The sequence below is a fragment of the Homo sapiens genome, chromosome 7 (assembly GCF_000001405.40).
Source record: "Homo sapiens chromosome 7, GRCh38.p14 Primary Assembly".
Classification (NCBI taxonomy): domain Eukaryota; kingdom Metazoa; phylum Chordata; class Mammalia; order Primates; family Hominidae; genus Homo; species Homo sapiens.
The window spans coordinates 145,566,619-145,587,487 of NC_000007.14; the positions used below are offsets into that span (position 1 = coordinate 145,566,619).

General features: G+C 34.1%; 1 pseudogene; it reads left to right on the forward strand.

Annotated features, from left to right (window-relative positions):
* On the forward strand, positions 16,479–18,443 carry DPY19L4P2 (DPY19L4 pseudogene 2; annotated as a pseudogene).

Below are 20,869 nucleotides of genomic sequence, written 5' to 3' on the forward strand. Positions count from 1 at the left end.
GAGCCATACAGCCTCTGTCACAACCACTCAACTCTGTCACTGTCCTGAGAAAGGAGCCATAAACAGTATGTAAACGAATGGGCATGGTTGTGTTTAGGTAGAACTTTATTTACAACAACAGGGAATCACCTGGCTTTCATCCCTGGGCCATCATTTGCCAACTTCTGAGTTAGCTGACTAAGGTTTACATTTGAAGCTTGCTATAAAACATATATGAAAAAGCATTTGTATTTATTATATTTTAATACACATAGAAGCCTGATCTCCTAAGAAGACCTTGAGTTCCCAAAGGAAACCACTGTCTCAATTGGCTGTTTCTCATCACCAACAGATTCTTGTGTATATTAAAATCAAAAAAGAAAAAAATGAATCCCATGAATTAATTACATATACTATACCAAAAATTATGCATAGTACATTTTATTATAATATTGTGCAGAAAATGTCCCTGAAAAAAATTGGTTAAGAAATGTATATCTTCATTCTCTATGGGCCCTCCCTTATGAACATCATAAGGTAGCTGTTTGGTGCTACATGGTGTTTTACTCAGAGCACGGCATCATCCAATGTGCCTCACAGATGTTTTTAGAGGTTCTTCACTCTTAAGAGTGTTACAGTTTGTTAAAGAACAATGTAAGGACAAAAATGCATAAAAATGGCATTTGTTTTGATGTATATTACTTGAGTTTATAGTAGAATAATTTTACCGTAGATATAGTTCCTTTTTTTCCTAATGATATCTGCACTGTGTGATTTTATGATCACAGTGAGTTATTCTTGGGTCTTGTGTCAACAATAATCTTTCTAGCCTGCAGGTAGTTATAATTATCTTCCTTTATGCTAAAAACTAGGAAAGGAGAGATACAGAAAACATTAAAGCATGTTGTATAAAACCTACCATAACAGATTGCTTTATTTTAAAGATCAGAAACCTTAAAATCTAATGTTGGTCTAATTTAAGTACAATAGAGCAGAAGCCATGAATTCTATATCAATGCAGATTTCCCAAGACCTTCAAAAATGACCTAATAAAGGTTAAGCTAATAAGGCATACCCTTGAAGTTTGCTATTAAGTTGAAATGAGGTAATATTAGTTTACTATTTTTCAATAAATATAAGGTCCCACTGGTATTTTCTCTTCTAAATTTAAATTACCTTTACTCCTAAGGTTTTCAGGAGGGATGTTCAAGTGAAGATGAAGTGGTCTTAGTCATCATAAGTATTTCGAGTCTGTTTGAGGATGTGTGTGCACACACATGTTTTTAGCATATTCATAACAACTTATTTGAAATACATATTTTTTCCAATTGAAATAAGGTTGATAAACTGGCATATTGATTCCAATTGCTGCTGTAAAAAATTACAAAAAGTTTAGCAGTTTAAACAATACAAATTTACTATCCCACATTTCTGGTGGTTAGAAATCAGGTATGCGTCTCACTAGACAAAAATGCAGGTGTCAGCAGGGCTCCTTTCTGGAGGTTTTAAGGAAGAATCTGCTTCTGTGCTCATTCATGTTGTTAGCAGAATTTAGTTCCTTGCACCTACGGGACCAACAACCCTGTTTTCTTGCTGGCTGTCACCTGAGGACCATTCCCAGCTTTTAAAAATAATTTGTAAATTTTTTTTGATATATATCGTGTTTCTTGACTCATGGTTCCATTTCTTCATCTTCAAAGACAGAGAATATGGGTGGAGTCCCTCTCAAGGTACGTCATTAGGTCCTTCTCTGCCTTCCTCTTCTGCCATTAAGAGTGCTTGTGATTACACTGGTCTCACCTGTATAATCTCGCTATTGTAAGGTTAGCTGATTAGATAACTTGATTCTACCTGCATCCTTAATTCCCTTTTGATATATAACATATTCACAGGTCCCAGGGTTAGGACGTGGGCATCTTTGGGAAATCCATATTCAATCTGCCGCATTTTGTAATTCCCAATATCCACAGTAGCCGTGGTCAACCCAACTACTACCTACAAAACTTAGGGCAAAATAATAATAACAACAATATAATGAAATGATCGTATTTTATATTTTAGGTCCATAATTATCATAATAAAGAAGCAAGGAACCAAAAATAAAACAGATACTTATAAAGGGTATTTGATATGGATAGTGCCTGTGTGAGTTGTAGTCAAACAAATTTTATCGCAATTGTATTGATTGAACAATAATTCATTTTTAAATTTAATTTTAAGAGAAAGTAATATTTATAGTGGTAATTTCTAAAACTGTGAGCCCAGATGTGATGGCTCATGCCTATAACCCTGGCACTTTGGGAGGCTGAAGTGGGAGGGTCACTTGAGCCCAGGAGTTTGACACTTGCCTAGCAACATGGCAAGACCCTGTCTCTACTATAATAATAATAATAATAATAAAATAATTAAATTGTGAAAACTGCTGAAGTCAAAGAGGTTTTAAGCTGCCTTTTGTGTACTGCAGAATGAAAGTTCTAGTTGTGGTATAAATATGGATCATAAAGATTACTTCTTAGGTAAACATGAAAAGATTTGGCATAACTACCAAAAAAAGTAATATCGAGAAATAAATTCCCAAATTTGCTTGTCCTCTGTACTATCTCAATTCATGTCAGAAGATACAGGATTGATTTTAGTTCTGTCGTTGGCTAGCTCAGATTTTCATCCTTAAAATTAATTTGTAAAATTTTGTATTGATTATATCTTTCCACCAACAGTAAGAAATTTCTGCCATCTCAGTGCTCCAAAATTTCTGTGAAAACATGGATCAATAATATGGTAAATAAATGAGCTTCCTTATCCAAAAAGCTAGTGAACAGAAGTGTTCAGACTTTCAGATTTTGAGGTTTTTTTTTGGATTTTGGAATATTTACATATACATAATGAGATATCTTGAGGATGGGACCCAAGTGTAAACATGAAATTCATTTATATTTCATGTATACCTTATACACATAGCCTGAAGGTAATTTTATACAATATTTACATAATTTCTTTAAAAAAACAGAGTTTTGACTGGGTTTTGACTGTGACTTGTCACATGAGGTCAGGTATAGAGTTTTCCACTTGTGGGGGTGTGTCAGCTTTCTAAAAGTTTCAGAATTTGAAGCAGTGTGGATTTTGTATTTTTGCAATGGAATGCTCAACGTGTATTTTTATTTTGGGCATCAAACTGAAGAAAGATTAATACACTTGAATATGTCCAATGGGAATGAATGATAAAATAAATAGATCTGACAATTTTTTAAAATGTTTAATGAAATTAGAGATGTTTGTCTGGAAAAAAATTATTAAGTGTCACCTAGTGTTTGTTTATATTCCACTGGCTTTTAAAGATAATGTTAGTGTAACTACTATTAAAGTACTTTACTATATCTTAATAACATATTGATATTATTATATTATTAAAATGATGGAAGCTCATTCTCCAAAAAACTGAAGAAGCATGATTTTGGCATTTAGTGATATGCTTAGGAAGACCCTCCACATGCCACAAATATTCACCGAGTCCCTACATTCTACCAGGGTGTTCAAGGGCCATGGAACACAGTGGTGAGCTAACAACGCAACCCAGACAAAAGCAAAAACAGAATAACCAAAGGAAAAATACTTCCTCTCAGAGCTTACCTTCTCATGGTACAAAAGAATGGACAAAATGAATAAGAAAATTGTATAGTACATCTATATTAAAATCTGCTAATTGTTCCTCAATTTTTACTCCAACCTTCTTTCACATAGTGATGGAGACCTCCCTTCAAGTTTTGGAAACATATCTGTCAGTTACAGTTTAGATTTTCCAGCTTCAATGTTACCTATGTGGTTCATGTGCCTAAATTCTTATCAAGGAATTATAAGTGAAATGCGTATGTATGTGTAACTTTTGTGTCCATTACCTCAAGGGAGTCTCTTGAAAGGTTATGCTTCTGGCACTAGCAGACCAGTGGGTTTAGGCCAAACCCTCTCACGATGAGTAATTGGAAGAGCTGGAGAAAGTATAAAATAAAAATAATCTATTTGAAGACATCAGAGGAGTATCAAGGCCAAGATGCTGGATAAAAGAGAACTCCAGAGAGATGAACCTTACATTTGATATCAATATTTACCTCTAAATAATTTGCTATTTACAAACATTAGCAGACTGGCTGAAGAGCAAACTAAAAGTAGTGGGGAGAGGCTGAGTTCTTAACAACTTTACAGGGAAAGAAAATAACAATAGATCACACTCTGTATTCCAAGTTTGTTTGTGTCTATATTTTCTTTCTTTTTGTCACTGTGTACTATGTTCCAAGTTTTTCCCTCCGAACTACTTTCTAATTTCCATATTCTCTTTGAAACTGTGTCTACTTTTCTGTTAGAATACTGCAATAAATATTTGATTTTCATTAATGTGTTTTTCTATTTCTAGATATTCTATTTGGTTCTTTTCTATCCCATAGGTTGCTTTTTACAGTTTTATGTTCCCTAAAGATATTTTCAAGTTTGACTTTCATTTCTTTAAAAATAACAGGCACTATTGACTTACAATTTCTATCAGATGTCTTTGTAGATGCTGTCTGTGACATGTTTCAGCTGGTACCTATTTGCTATACCTTCTGTGCTTGGTAATTATTTTATCTTATTTTAATTTTATTTTAGGCTGCCTATTTGTCTTTGTTAATTACTCAACAGGCCTCTTGAAGCATAAGATGTTGATGACATCCTCCAGAGAAGGAATTTAATGAATTAAGTTTGTTTCCTGTACTAGCTAAATCTTATTCCAACTTTTGTCTTTTTGTGCTGTAATTTTCTCAGTGAGTATGTGTATTAGTCAGTTCTCTCATTGCTATATAGAAATACCTTTGACTGAGTAATTTATACAGAAAAGAGGTTTAATTTCATGGTTCCATAGGTTGTACAGGAAGCATGATGCTGGCATCTGCTTGGCTTCTGGGGAGGCCTCAGGAAACTTACAATCATGGCAGAAGGCAAAGATGGTACAAGTGTCTTACTTGGCAGGAGCAGAACTAAGAAAGTGGAGAGGTGCTACAGTTTTAAACAACCAGATATCACAACAGTTCAGTCACTCACTACCACAAGTACAGCACCTAGAAGATGGCACTAACCCATTTATGAGAACTCCACCCCCATAATCCAATTACCTCCCACCAGGCCGAACCTCCAACACTGCAGATTACAATTGGACATGTAATTTGGTGGAGAAAGATCCAAACCATATCAATATGTTAACATTTTTGACTATGATTGTGATTCTGTTAGCTCTTTGATATATATGTTGAGGTTGTTTGGGTCACCCAGTTACTGGGAATTTAGGTTTCAAATCCTTGCAGGAGGTGCCTTATAAATACATTGTCTCAGGAAAGTTATTTTTCTAGCTTAGCAACAATTCAATTTTCTTTGTAATTATCTAAAGAGAGTTTCCTTTGGATTCAGCATTACAGTAAAGGATTTCTTTAGTTTTTATTTCTGCCCTGCTTGTCTCATAAATCCAACAAACTAAATGTCATTTGTGCATAGTCCAACTTCAAAGTGGCTTCAATGCTCTTCTTATTCCTCAGGGTTCTGACTTTCTCATGGATTTTGACCTGGTATTTCCCTTGTATCCTTTAGGGATTTTGAGGAATTAAAATTTATTTTCAATATTTTATGCAGCATTTAAATTTTTTATTTCTTTAAATAATCTATCAAATTTACCTCCCCAAAATATAAGTCCTCTGCTCCTAACCTTATTACTTATTTCCTGTAAAAGATTTTAGTTCTATGCTTTAAGTTCTTTATTCTATCTTTTTGAATTGCCCTTTTATAAGCTGGTGATGTTGGTTGCTTTTGTTTTTTGAATGAATGCATTTTCTTCAAAGTACCACTTAAGTAGCGTTTCCTAATTTTAAAAGCTTCAGAACATTTTCTACTTAATCCATGGATTGTATTTTTAGATTTCAAACACATTTTTCCTACCAGTCTAATTATTGGTTTCTAACCAATTTCACTGTGAAAAAAAAAAAGAGTAAGTTCTATAGGCAACTAATATTTTTAATGAGTTGTGGCTTATGTCATGACCTATAAAAATGTCAATTTTTAGAAATAGAACAGTCCACTGTTGTGTGCAAAGTTCTCTCTCTGGCTCTCTCTACATGAGATATATATGTTAGTATAGCTTGTTAATTGTGTTTTTCCAATCTGCTATGTATGTTCTATCTGCTTAGACTATCACTTTTGAGAAAGACATGTTAAAATCATCCATTATTATTTCTTAGTACATTTTTCTATGTTTCTGTCAACACTTCTTTTAATGTTAGGAGACCATATTTTGGGGTGTATATACATTCTCAATGATAATATCTTCTACTAGTTTATTTCTTTAATCATCATGTATTGATTATCTTAGCACTTATTTATTCTTACACCTCATGCTGTTTGATGCCTACTTTTCTTAATATCTCCCTATAGAGTCTTCCTGTCTTATTGTCTTTTAAACATATTTATTTTATGGGACATATAGCTAGATTTTTAATGCAATTTATATCTTAGGGTTTTAGCAGATTATTAGCAATTATTACGACTTATTACAAATATTTCAATTAACTTTTATTTTGGCTTTTTCCCTCTTTCTGCAGCAGTTTTTCAATGTGTCATTTTTTTGTTATTAATGTCTTTCTTCCTTTATTCTTTCTTTTTACATTAGAAGTACAATTTAAATTTAAAGTTTCTCTCATTAAATTAACATATGACTTTTTTTTAATTTTAGCAAAGTTTGATGTTTTTAACTTTTTCCCTTTTATTCTTGAGTAGAACTTTCAATTAATGTGTTTTGTTGCCCCTTGTGTTCCGTCACTTACATCACCTATATTATTTGTGCTAAAGTTTAATTCTTAATTTTTAATCATAAAAATAGAAGTATTATTTTTAATGGCCTATAATTAATTAGATTCAACAATATGTTTGCTAATTCTCCTGGGTTTAATTTTTTTCTTGGCAAAGTGTGTTTGTTCCCAATAGTTCTTTCTCAGAAAGTTTTTAGGTGGTAAAATGTTTTAACACATTTAAATAATAATGTTGTTATTTTATTCCAGTGTTATTCATTGAAAAATATTTTATTTGGCTATATCAGTCCAGATTGACAAATATTTTCCCTCAGCACTTGTGAGGCACGACATCATCTTCTTGCATGTATTTTTGCTGCTGAATACATCATTAGCTTCATTATCACTCCCTTGTAAGATAGCTGTCCTTCTGCATAGCCGTTAGATATTTGTTTCCTTAATTTTTCCCAATATAGTATTATAAACAATTTCAAATTCATGGCAAAGTTGACACAATGTGAGCCAGTGAATACTTGTGTTACTACCACATATTATGCTATATCTGCTTCATTTCTCTCTCATACACACACACATACACACACACACACACACACACACGCACGTGCACACACACACACGTATTCCAATATCTATTTTCTTTGGATGACTTGCAAACTTAATCTTAGATTTGATTTAATTAAAAAGTATCGCTATTCATGGCCGGCCACAGTGGCTCACGCCTCCCAGCACTTCTGGTGGCCGAGGCAGGCAGATCACGCGGTCAAGAGATCGAGACCATCCTGGCCAACATGGTGAAAACCCATCTCTACTAAAAATACAAAAAAATTAGCTGGGCGTAGTGGCGCATGCCTGTAGTCCCAGCTACCCGGGAGGCTGAGGCAGGAGAATCGCTTGAACCTGGGAGGCAGAGGTTGCTGTGAGCCGAGATCACACCACTTCACTCCAGCCTGGTGACAGAGCGAGACTCCATCTCAAAAAAAAAAAAAAAAAAAAAAAAGATCGCTATTCATAATTACATTCATAATTAACAGTCTTTTTAAGGTATGATAGTAACGTAATGAACTGTGTATTTTAAGTGTAGAATTTAATAAGTTTTGGCTAAATTCATCATTACAATCAAGATAATGAATGTAATCATCAAAAAAAGGCATCCCTTGTCTCTGCACAACACATCCCTCAACCCTCCTTCACCAAGCAAACAATTATCTGTTTTCTTACACTACCATTTCCAAAGTGTTAGTTTACATTTCCAAAAATTTTATTTTATGATTTATACAATATGTCTTCTTTCCATCTGGCTTTTCTCACTGAGTGTAATTTTTTTAGATTAGCTTATATTGCAGTGTATATCAATAATTCATTATGTTTTTATTGCTGAGTAATATTTCATTATATGGATACACTACAGTTTACTTATCCATTCATATGTTCATGGGTGTTTGGGTGCTTTCCAATTGTTGGCTATTGCAAATAAAGGTGCTCTGAGTAGTTTTTGTGCTAGGCTTTGCATGGACATATGCTTTCCTTCTTTGGGGTGAATATGTAGTAATGCAATGATTATTTTACCTGGTGGTGTGTATTTAAATTTTCAAGGAACTGTCGAATTGTTTTCCAAACTATTTGTAGATATTGCAATGCAAGATAATTCCATGTATACATGTTGTTCCCAATGCTTGTATTTTTAACGTTGATCATTCTAATAGGTGTGTCCTGGCACCACTGATTTCTATTAATGACTAATGATGTCGAGTATTCTTTCATGTGCTTAGTTGTCTGTAAAACTTCCATGGTTAATTGCCAAATAACATTTTTGCTCATTTTTAATTGGATTGTTCTGTTACTATTGAGTTTTGAGAATGTGTATTCTGGATTCAATTTCTCTATTAGATGTAAGATCTGCAAACATTTTCTTCCCGTCTGGGATAAAAGGTATAGGATATCTACACAGCACACCCCAATGAGATGCTCAAATGTTCTTTTTTCCAATGATAAAAGTAAAGTAGTTACTTAAGTTTGTTTACTCATTTTCTGGGGAAACAAAAGACTGAGGCTTGTGCTCTGTTAAGATGCATTTTTGAAATTTTGTAATTCTATGGAACTCAATATTTATACTAAAATTTAATATATCTTATATGTTTGTAATGTAATGCTTTTTTACAAGTCATGTAAGAAAAATAAGAGATTCTCATCTTTCCAGTGTTACACACAAAAATAGAGCAGAAAATACTTTCAATATCTGCAGTTAAACACATCAACATGAATGGGATAATCTAGCAGAGGCCATTATTTAGATACTTAATATTTGATTGAGACAATTTAGTTATTAAAATCATTTTTACTTACTTGTAATGGTATAAAAGTACATTATGGCTATATTAAGATTGTAATATCAGGCATATAAAGACAAGGAAATTGAACAATCTACATTTCTTTCAGCAATGTTATCATAGCCACTCAAGTTTTAAAATATGTATTTATTATCAAATAATCAATCTTATTGAAAGTAAATTAATCACTAATTAAAATAAGTGAGGATCACGTCTTATACAGAAGTTGATCAACCTTTTATTGTAAGAATTCTTTCTGTTTGGTTGAAATATTCCATCTTAATATTTAATTGAGGGTACAAACCTTTACAATTGTCCTTTCTGCATCATACAAGATATTCAAAATGATTGAGGACAGGTTGAGCCAACGGGTAGGAACATTGCCTCTGACCTTGAGTAACTGCTTAAATCCAAATGGTAAATTTGTTGTGGTTGCTAATAATAAAATCTGCCTTAGTCTTCCTCTATACTCTGTCATTTTTATAGTCTCAGTGGACAATATTTTTTCAAGTACTTTACTAATCCACAGAATTCCTGAATTCTGCTCACTGTTTATACCTAAAGATATTTTCTCTGTTCTTCCCTCTTGACTGATGTCCTTCCATTTTACATTCATTAAGATTGTTCTCTGTACAATGTGCTTGCATTTTCTGAAGAGGAAACTCATTACCTGCTTAACAGTTATTTTTAAAAAAGCAGGGTTAATACAAGTATTGAATTCCAATTTGTTCTTTTTTTGTAGGAATCATGCTATTGAGGAAATCGAAGACTCTCCCTTGTCAGATAATAACATGAGTCTAAAATTAAAAGACATTTAATGCCTATAAGGTCTCATTGTATTTCTCTTACTGCATCTCCAACAATTGTTTTCATATTGATATCAATATTAATTTATTCACTGATACATAAAATATTGTGCTTTCCTGTTCCTCGCCATCCCACTCCTTTTACTTGGCATTATTTAATACTTACATCCACTCTCACTAGTCTTTCATCTCCATTTTCTTTTCTCTTCAGTTTGATGTTTATATTTGTTTACACATTTAAAGTACCTATTTAAAATTCTCAATGATATAATAAAATTTTGATTTCTTGCTCCCTTCTGAATATATTGAATCTTTATTATCTAAATGAATCAATAAAATCCAGATCTTACCCTTCACCCCTTCTTTTTAACCTATTTGTTATTTAATATTCTAAATATTTTTAAGATATTAAAAAATAAAATTCATTTACTATTTACTTATATCTGAAAACCACAGTCTGCTGTGTTCTCTTCCAATTGATTCCAATAGCTGAAAACCACTGTCTGCCTTATTATAATGATGTAGATATTTTTCTTTGAAAAGTCAAGCAGTGGGCTGACATTACAGCTTTTCCTATGTGGGGTCACAACTCCTGTGACACTCAGGGAAGAACACATTGGCAATGTCAAACAGATCCTCTTTCATTGCACATCATCAGTAGTTTCATAACATGGCACACTTCTATTTTTCTTATATTCATACATTAGTTTCTTGAAGATATTTGTTGGTTTTGTTTTTCTTAGTGTTTCTAATTCTATTATTTTCATTGTTGAAAGAAGAAACATATGCCCTCTTCAACAGATTCCTTCAATATTCCAGCACATGAAAGACTTTATCTCTTGAATAGAATCTACTCCATTTTTCTATTGACATTTTCCTTACTGCTCAGGAATTTCTTATTCACATTTGTCCTGATTATTACTAGGCTATCTAGAAAGTTATTATTTTAAAATTTATTTACTTTGGACTCCTTACTTAAATCTGAAACAGAATAGTTCCTTTACCCCTTTGTGAGTCCTGTGAAGGGGTTGGCTTGTTTACTCAGCCCACAGCTCTCAACCCCTCATGGGAGTGGGAGCAAGCAAGTGAGTGTCTAGGAGTTGCCAGCAACCCCCGGAGCCCCGGAGGTTGTGTGTTACATGCTGCTTTTTTAGTTTTGCCATCCATGGATGGCTGAAGTATTAGCCCAGTGGAAGGTCAGTGTGACAGCCTCCTTCACCTGCATCTGGGACCTTGTCTGGCTTCCAGGAGGAATCAGGTCACAGGAACAAATTGAAGGTGGTAAATGTATAGGATTTTATTACCAATGAAAGTGGCTCTCAAGGGGATGGGGAGCTGGAAAGGAGTTGGAGCGGGAAGGTGGTCTTCCCCTGGAGTCTGGCCATTTTCAGCTGAACTCTTCTCCAAGGTTTCATAGTCAAGCCATCCCTTCGAAATCAAGCTGCTTCTTCTCTTCTCTCCTTCTCTGCCACTCTCCTGCTAGTGGAGTCTGGGGTTTTTATGGTTACAGGATGCAGGGCAGGGCAGGCCAGGGTGGTCTTGGAAAAGGCAAAATGCGAGCAAAAAAGCAGGAATGCATGTTCTTACTTTGGGCCCCGGGTCCAGGCTTGAGGGTGGAGCCCTTGCCAGGGACCCTGCCCTTTTCTACCCAGTATTTCCCTGCCTCCTGTCTGTATCAAATCCATCATTTTTAAAAATTCCACGCCTACATCTTGTGATTGTTAATTTTGTTTTGTGTAAACAGATCGTCATGTAACCTTCTCCAAAATGGTATGTGAGAGGTACATTTTCTGATTTCTTGAGCTTCTCAAAACTGCTTTATTTTGCTATTTCTATTGATGGATTTCTTGGCTGGACATATAATTCTAAGTTGAAAATATTACTGCCTCAGAATTTTGAAGTAATTGTTACATTTTTTTAGTACCAAAGTTGAAGATCTAAAAAAATCTGCTGCATTTATGACATCTATTGATTAATATTTTTTCTTAGTATTCTCTGGATGCTTTTGAAATGTTCTTTTTATACATGGTGTACTTGAAATTCCCCAATGATGTCAGTGATATGCCTTTGAATTATTATTTGTATATTGAGCTCAGCAATCAGTGGGTCCTGTTATATCTACAGCTAGGCACCAATCTTCATCCCTGGAAGGTTGTTTCAGATTATTTATTTGATAGTATCTCTTTTTTTTTTCTTAATGTTTCCCTTTTGAAATTCCTTTTGATTAGATATTGAGCAATCTGGACCTACTCTTCACCAATTCATTTTCTTTTGTAGGTTTTCTCTTTTTTATGTTTTCAGGTGTATGTTCCAGAAGAAGACCTCAAACTTTCTTTTAATCTTCCTGTAGATTTTCATTTTTAATTTGTTAACATAGTTTTAATTTCTAAAGTTCTATTTTTTCTGAGAGCTATTTTTTTTATTCAGTCCTGTTCGTGACTCTTGTTTTATAAGAGGCATCATCTAGAAGGCTTCTGAAGACATTTTGTGTTTTAAGATTGTCTTCTGTCTGTGAATGATCTCTCTTTTTTCTTGGGGCCACATTTTTTTTGTAATTGACCTTTTTTCTCCTTTCATACTGCTATTTTGCTTTATGTCTAGCAATCTGTGGTTTTCCATTCAAATTAAGAAATAAAGGATTAGATTACTTGAGTTGTTTGTCACATATCTCTTAAGTTGTTGGGTATTAAGGCTAAAATTTTCCATTAATATTTTTTTCTTGAATAAGGACATTCAATAGGGTAGTACAGAAGCAGAGCTTGTTAATTGGCAAACTCTCTTTCATACTCAAAAGGTATAAACTGTCTTTAAAATGGAAGGCCCCACAGTTTCAGAATTAGAAGCACTTTACTTTGGAATAATAACACACATTCAAGCAAGGCTAATTCTTATCTGAAATGTTCTTTATAATTGTTTTGAGATGGACTTACAATTCAATCAAGTTCCTGTCCCCCACCCTCATAACTCTCTCTTTATGGTCATGGAAAATGATGTCTCTTTGTATTTTGTCACATTTTCAGTCCTATTATTATATCTGCTCATTCCAAGGAGAAAAATTTTCTGAGTTTAAGCTATCCAGTTCAGGCTACCTTATTTTTGCATCTGTCATCTGCTGTATTAGAATTTGAGAAATATGTTCTCTTTTAATTTTATCATATGATTTCATCTTTTACTTTTATAAAATTTATAGAATTCCCCTAATATGTGTGCCCTCCACCCACTTATTTTACAGTTATGGGTTTATCCCCATTTTAATCATTTATTATTTCTATAGTGCCTTGAAGATAAAATCTAGACTAACACATTTGCTTAGTCTGCCATATTTCTATGTAAGTATAAAGTGTATATTATTCCTAATTATGAATTGTTATGAATAAGAACTTGAAAGCTGTTTATCAAAATAATTGAAACTGTAAATGTGAAACTTGCAATTTTATTTTAGCAATTTATACTAGATGTTAAAATTTTATTCATATATATATAGTTACATAGATGTTCAATGGAGGGTTATTATAAAAGTTACATCAGTAAAAAAGATTTAACAAAGGGAGATTATGTCATTAAAATATGGCACATATAATTTTAAGCTACAGAACTTATTTTTATAGTTGTACTCAATATTCATGCAGTAATTTTCAGTTCTTTCTACTTTATCATAAATATTATTTTTATAACTGTTTGATTACATTTACATTTCTTATTATTTTGGTTTAGATTTAAATTGTAGTTATTAACATAAGAATTTAAGAGAGTGTAACCGAACAAATAAAATACAAGTATGGCTGGCTATAATAAATTTAAATATGCAAAGTTCATCTTATAGAGACAGAGAGGATAGATACTAGCAGGAGTGTGAGATACACTGATTTATAAAATGATGATGAAAGTTTGGTTCAACAACAAATAGAAGGTTAGACAAAAAAGGATAACCTTTTGCATGAAATGAAACTTAAGCAGAAATCTATCATGTGATTAATATTCAAAAATGTACTATTGTATATATAATTTAACCTGATATGACATAAGTCTTAGAATAATTGATTTAAAAGTAATGCACTAAAAAACAAACAAAAAAGAAAGAAAACAAACAAACAAAAACACTATGCTTCTAAAGAGCTCTTATATTGACCCCATTTGGGGCAATAGTTTACAGTTCATCAAAGGAATGTCTTCAATACACTACAATGATGCCCTATTTTGTTTTTGGAGAAACTTGTATTTCTTTGAGTGGGGTCTCACACATTGTGCTATTTTTCTCAAAATCGAACACTGTGTCAAGGGTTTCCGTGTTTGGAAAATTTTTCTGGCTCAACACAATGCTCTGCCGGACCCTGACTTCTCTCATGGTTTTGTAAGCCCGGTTTCTAAATCCAGAGCCGCAAGCCTAGATTTCTCCATTCTCTGTGGATGAGTTTTCATGTGATATACTTGGGTTTCTTTTTGTGCTGATGGGCCTTAAATTGAAAGCACTCTAGTCTCCTCTACTTTCTTTAGCTTAGTATGTCACAAATGAGAAGCGGAAGACTACGCCTCTTGGATTCCTTAAGTCTCCAGTTTCCTTGTAAAACTTGATTCAGTACTTCTCCAGAGCTCAGTAAGAGGAAAACTTTTGATGTGTTGCCATTTCAGGATTTTGAGGTGAATTCCATGTAGTCTTTAATTGAGCCAGAATATGAAAAAGATGAAGAACTAAAAATTATGTTTTCAGATATTCACTGCTTGTGGAAATTTTATTTCTTATATAATATGTGATTTCTGTATTTGTCAATTTGGGCTATTATAACAATGTATTACACACCAGGTGGCTTACAAACAGCAGGAATTTCTAACAGTTTTAGAGGCTTGGAAGTCTGAGATCAGGGTTCCAGTATGGTCAGGTTTTGGTGAGATCCCACTTCCAGTTTGCAAACTGTCAACTTTTTCTTGTATCCTCATATGGCAGAATGAGAGCAAGCTAGCTCTCTGGCCTCTTCGTTTAAGGACACCAATCCTGTTTGTGACTAATCTGCCCCCAAAAGCCCCACCTTCAAATACCATCCCATTGGGGATGATATTTCAACATTTAAATTTGTAGGGGACACATACATTCAGTCCATAACAAGATATTATTTATTACGGGGGATATATCTCATGTATTATGTATGAGATAGATATATAATGTGATATTTCCCATCCAATTTTTTATTGGAATGATTACATATACAAGCAAGATTAAATATTAGCCAAAAAAGAAAGAAATGGGCCCCAGATAAAGTAAATCCAATAGAAACAACTTGTAAAGCTGTGTATAAAAAATATTAAAAGAATAATAAAATAAAAATCATTATTAATTTTCACAAAGTTGCTACACAAGGACAATGTAAAACAACGAATTGAATTTCTACATACCATCACGTTAATAAATAAAAGCTGTAAAAGTTTATAATAATCACAGTTATAGCAAATATCTAGAAGTGGTGCTAAATTTATATATGTCTTCATAAAAAATTATGAAACAAATTGAGATAATTTAAAGGACTAAGTAAATGGACAAAATAGGTTACAATCATAGATTTGAAGACAGTAATTTAAAGATGGAAATTCTCCTTAAACTTCTTCTTAAATTAAATACAAATTCAATCAAAATTGTCCCAACAATGTATTTCTATGTATTTTGGTATTTTAAAAATTTGTAAGTGTATTCTATATTTTAAGTGGAAATGCAAGTGGCTAACAATAGCCAAGCAGTCTTTTAGGTGGGAAGCCTTGCTCTATTCATAATGAAGCTACACTAAGACAATGTGGGAATAGTACAAGTACATAATAAAGAGCCTCCAGACAGAGCCTAATATATATAAACACTTGATTTATACATAAACATAGCCCAGAGTAACTGTAGATGAAGGTTTGGGGGAAAAATAGAACTTGTACCATATGTCAAACCTACACAAAATTTCATGTCAATTTCATGTCGATATATCTAACTGTGGAAATTGAAATAATAGATAATCTAGAAGATTATGTAGAAATTAACCTCATTATCCTGGGTTAGGCAAAATTTCTTAAGGTGTTTTTAACCTAATGTTTCTCAAAGTTATTTAACTAGAAACTGTGCGTGTGTGTGTACGTGTGTTTAAGACATTAATATATTGGGAAAATCTCTTTTCTCTGAAGCCCTTTGGGAGAAGCTACCTTGAGCTCTCTGTTTCATTATCAAATTAGCACAGGACAATCACCAGAATTAAGGCCCGTGATTATCAGCTGAAAAACTTTACAAGAACAGTTCAGGGTATAAAGCCTCACCCCGGTCTGGTAAAAAAAAAAAAAAACATCAAAGCAGGAAACTACCATTTTCCACAAGAAGATCATAAGAGAATGTATTTTGGCTGTGTGTCAAGATCGAGTTCCAGTGTAACAAGGTTAGCTGCACTCAGGTAAGTATATACGGAGCAACTTATGTCATCAAGAAACATTAACCAGGGAATTGCATAAAATTTCGTTTAGCTTTTGTGTAAGATTTTTATTACTAGGAAAACAATGATTAAAAGGTATGTTTGCGGCGGCGGCCGGGAGCGGACCCGGAGAGGCTGAGGGGTTCGGAGATTCAGAGGGAGGGAGACTCCTGCCTCGATGCAGCTGGAGGTATGTCCTGGCCTCCGCGGAGACCAGGGCAGAGGAAGAAAGATCAACTGCAGAGCTGCGCCAAAGAAAAAAGGCCAAAGTCTTCAGAAAATAAGGAATCCGCTAAAGAAGAGAACAATCAATGACATTCCAATTCCTGAAAGAGCTCCAAAACGAGCTTGAACGGGGAATCACGTTTCAGGGTGACAGTGCCATTTATTAGACCTATCATAAAGATATGTTAAAGGCACCTTCATTTGAAAGAGGTGTTTATGAACTGGCACACAATAACAAAACTGTATCTCCAAAGACTATACATGCAGTGCAGCAAATATCTGTATATCCAGAACTTATTGCCAGTGTTTTATGTCAAGCCACTGGTAGCAACGAGATTATTGAGCCAGTGTATTTCTATATTGGCGCTGTTTTTGGATTCCAAAGAATATGTTACCGCATTATTTGTTACAAGTTGGCTTATGAGTGGAACATGGCTAACAGGAATGCTTACTGTTGCATGCCTCATTTTTAACAGGGTAGATACAACAAGAATAGAATACCCCATTCCTTTAAGAGAAAACTGGGCACTACCATATTTTGCATGCCAAGTTGCTGCCCCTACAGGCTATTTAAAAAGCAACTGAAATACTTATGGAGAGGAGTTTTGCTACTTGTTGATAAGTGCTTCAACTTACATATTTATGATGATGTGGGGTACGGCCGCTATCTCCTGTTTCTTCAAGCAGTCTCTCTATTCCTGCTCGATATCTTGCCGCTGGAGCAAAGTGACAAGGTTTATGAAGTTTACAAAATCTACATATTTTCTCTCTTTCTGGGATATTTACTGCAGTTTGGGAATCCAGCTGTACTGGTGTTTCCTTTGTTAAGTTTACTAGCAGCCTTAATGATTGCTAAGTGCCTTCAGCTGAATGCGAAGAAAGAAACTTTTGTAGCTAAAACAATGAAAGTGATTAATTTTTACTTGGTGCGTACTCTGACAGTGACATTGAATATTATAATGAAGATGTTTGTCCAGCACAAAGAAAATGGGCGCATGCTCAAATTCCTTGAAGTAAAATTTGGACTAAATATGACTAAGAATTTTACAGTTATTTAGCTCCTCTGTCAAGATTCCCTGCAGGCACCTTCTCAAGACGTTTTTTTTTTTTTTGTTTTGTTTTTTTTTTGCAATTGACAATCTTCTTTATTACATTTCTATATTCCAGTGTTAATTATTTGTTTTCTTTCTATACTGCAAGTTATTTTTAGGAGGATTAATACTAAATTCCTGACAGAAACTGTTATTCTTCATGACGGATGAATTGGAGAAAGGCCAGAAATAATTTATCATGTAACTCACACTATTTTATTGGATTCTCTTGTGATGGTTATAGAAGGCTTGAAGTACATCTGGATTCCTTATGTGTTCATGTTAGCAGCATTTGGTGTATGTTTTCCTTAACTTTGTATGACACTTTTCAAGTGGTTTCAATTAAGAACCATATACCCAATATTGTTGGTGGTTTGCAAAGAAGGTGACAGGCTAACCTACTCAAAATATGGGTGATTTTGTCATGAAGTCAAAATTAACTTTCTCCATATGTGAATTATTTCACTAGAGCTTACTGGATCAGATCCTACTTTGTATATAAAATCAACCCTGTGGTATCCTTCCAATTTTGAAAAATAACAGAGCTTTCATTTCAAAGACTACCTGAAGTAAAATGCAGTTTTCTCCACCTACTCAGTGTCTTTTGCAGGTTAGAGTATGGACATTTGAAATATTGCTGCTTCTTTCCCCCTCCTGCTCTTAACTGGATCCAGAGTTCTGTGGGAAATAGAAGATCAAGGATTACTGTCCTTTGATAAAATGTGATATCTACCATTCTGCAATATTCCAAACAAGTGTCTTCCTTCCTACTGAGAGGTGAAGCCAGCTAGACTTCCTGGGTCAAGTGGGGACTGGGAGAACTTTTCTGTCTAGCTAAAGGATTGTAAACACACCAATCAGCACTGTGTGAAAACGCACCAATCAGCACTCTGTGTCTAGCTAAAGGATTGTAAATGCACCAATCACCACTCCGTGTCTAGCTAAAGGATTGTAAACGCACCAATCAGTACTCTGTAAAAATGCAGCAATCAGTGCTCTGTGTCTAGTTAAAGGATTGTAAATGCACCAATCCGCACTCTGTAAAATGGACCAATCAGCAGGATGTGGGCGGGGACAAATAAGGGAATAAAAGCTGGCCACCCCAGCCAGCAGTGGCAACCCGCTCGAGTCCCCTTCCACGCTGTAGAAGCTTTGTTCTTTCGCTCTTCACAATAAATCTTGCTGCTGCTCACTCTTTGGGTCCCTGCCACCTTTAAGAGCTGTAAACACTCACCACAAAGGTCCGTGGCTTCATTCCTGAAGTCAGCAAGACCAAGAACCCACCGGAAGGAAACAACTCTGTACACACTACTACATGGTCTTTCGTGCTTTTACTGATTGCACTATTTTCCCTGTAAAATCTTCATTCCATTATAATATTGATCTTTAATTTGAATATGTTCAAGGTCAGAATGTATTTCTCAAACATAACATTTAACAAATATGTAATGTGACATAATTCTTTACTAGAAGGAATTATTCCTACCTTTAAACAAGTTTCTGAAAGTGTTTCATGATTTATAACAGCTGAAGTTTTACAATAAAAAACGAATTTAAATGTTAGCTGAAAATATGTGAGATTTAAATTAAAATAGAAATTATATAAAGGTAAGTGATTTTTAAGGATATACATAAAGATATATCCAGAATTTTCATGATAATGTTCTCATCATCTGCTGCTTATATAAGTGAACACTTTCTTAGTAATACAAAGTGCACAATATTATTGCATTTTATATTTTATGACTGTCTAGTGATTAGTTTTTTCACTTATGCCTATTACTTTGATATCAATTTGATAATGATAAAACAATAACTGTTATCTATATTTTTAAATGGACATTTAAAAGAGTGTTGTTCAGGTTTTTAGAAAAATATTGATATTGGGTATACAATTTATTCATGTTTTCTACTGAAGTATTAAGTAAAACATTAAATCTTTATCAGAATAAAAATATGTGCTCTAAAATGAGCAACAATTTCTGGAGATAGAGGCAGATGCTGTTAAACATACCTCTGCATACAGATGTATTTATTATAAAACATGAGTGATGTTGTTTATGAAACTGATGCAGTCTTCAACATTAAGAAAAAATGACGATTATAATAAAATTTACAACATGGTTTCACAGTCTAAATTCTATGTTCCTTTAAGTTAAATATTTTTGTATTTTTAATCATCTATTAAGAGAAACTTTAAAATACTTAATCTGGCCTTATAAAGAGATTCAGGATAGATGTAGCCTATGGATGTGTCATTTTAATAAATTGGGATACATGTTTAGTTTTTCTTTGTGCTCCTGCTCAGTGAACAGATTTTCAAAATTTTCACTTGTTAGAGTGCTGCAAAAATTACATTTTCAGTACTTTATTACCTTAGAAGGGAGCATTTCTTTATTGTCTTTATTTTCTGTTATACATGTATTAAAGTACATGCATTCTTAGATGAACTCTAGGATGCTTTGCTCTTTTGGAACTTAATTGTTTGGGCCAGGTGCGTTGGCTCACACCTGTAATCCCAGCACTTTGGGAGGCCAAGGCGGGAAGATCACAAGGTCAGGAGTTCGAGACCAGCCCGGCCAACATGGCGAGACCCCCGTCTCTACTAAAAAAAATTAGCTGGGTATGGTGGCGGGTGCCTGTAGTCCCAGCTACTTGGGAGGCTGAGGCAGGAGAATCGCTTGTACATGCGAGGTGAAGATTGCAGTGAGCTAAGATCACGCCATTGCACTCCACCCTGGGCAACAGGATGAGACTGTCTCAAATAAAAGAAGAAAGAGAGAGAGAGAGAGAGAGAGAGGGAGGGAGGGAGGGAGGGAGAGAGAGAGAGAAGGAAGGAAGGAAGTAAAGGAAGGAAGGAAGGAAGGAGAAAGAAAGAAAGAGAAAGAAAGAATTGTTTGATGGTGATCTCATATATCTGACAGATTAGTTTCAGTCTTTCTCTTTTCACTCTTAGACACAATTTTTTAAACTATATTAGGATAGTTGCAGACGATGTGCTTCAGGTTGACTCTGTACATCTGAGCCGTGGGTCACTAGTATTTCACATCAAGCCTCTTGAAAATATTACCATAGTTATCTAAGCACCTAGTGAATAGTCACATGGTAGTACTTGTGATTAGAGGATGTAAAACAATGTAATTTAAAAGTCATCTTCCATATATTGAAGGGGAAATAGAACACGCTACTTTT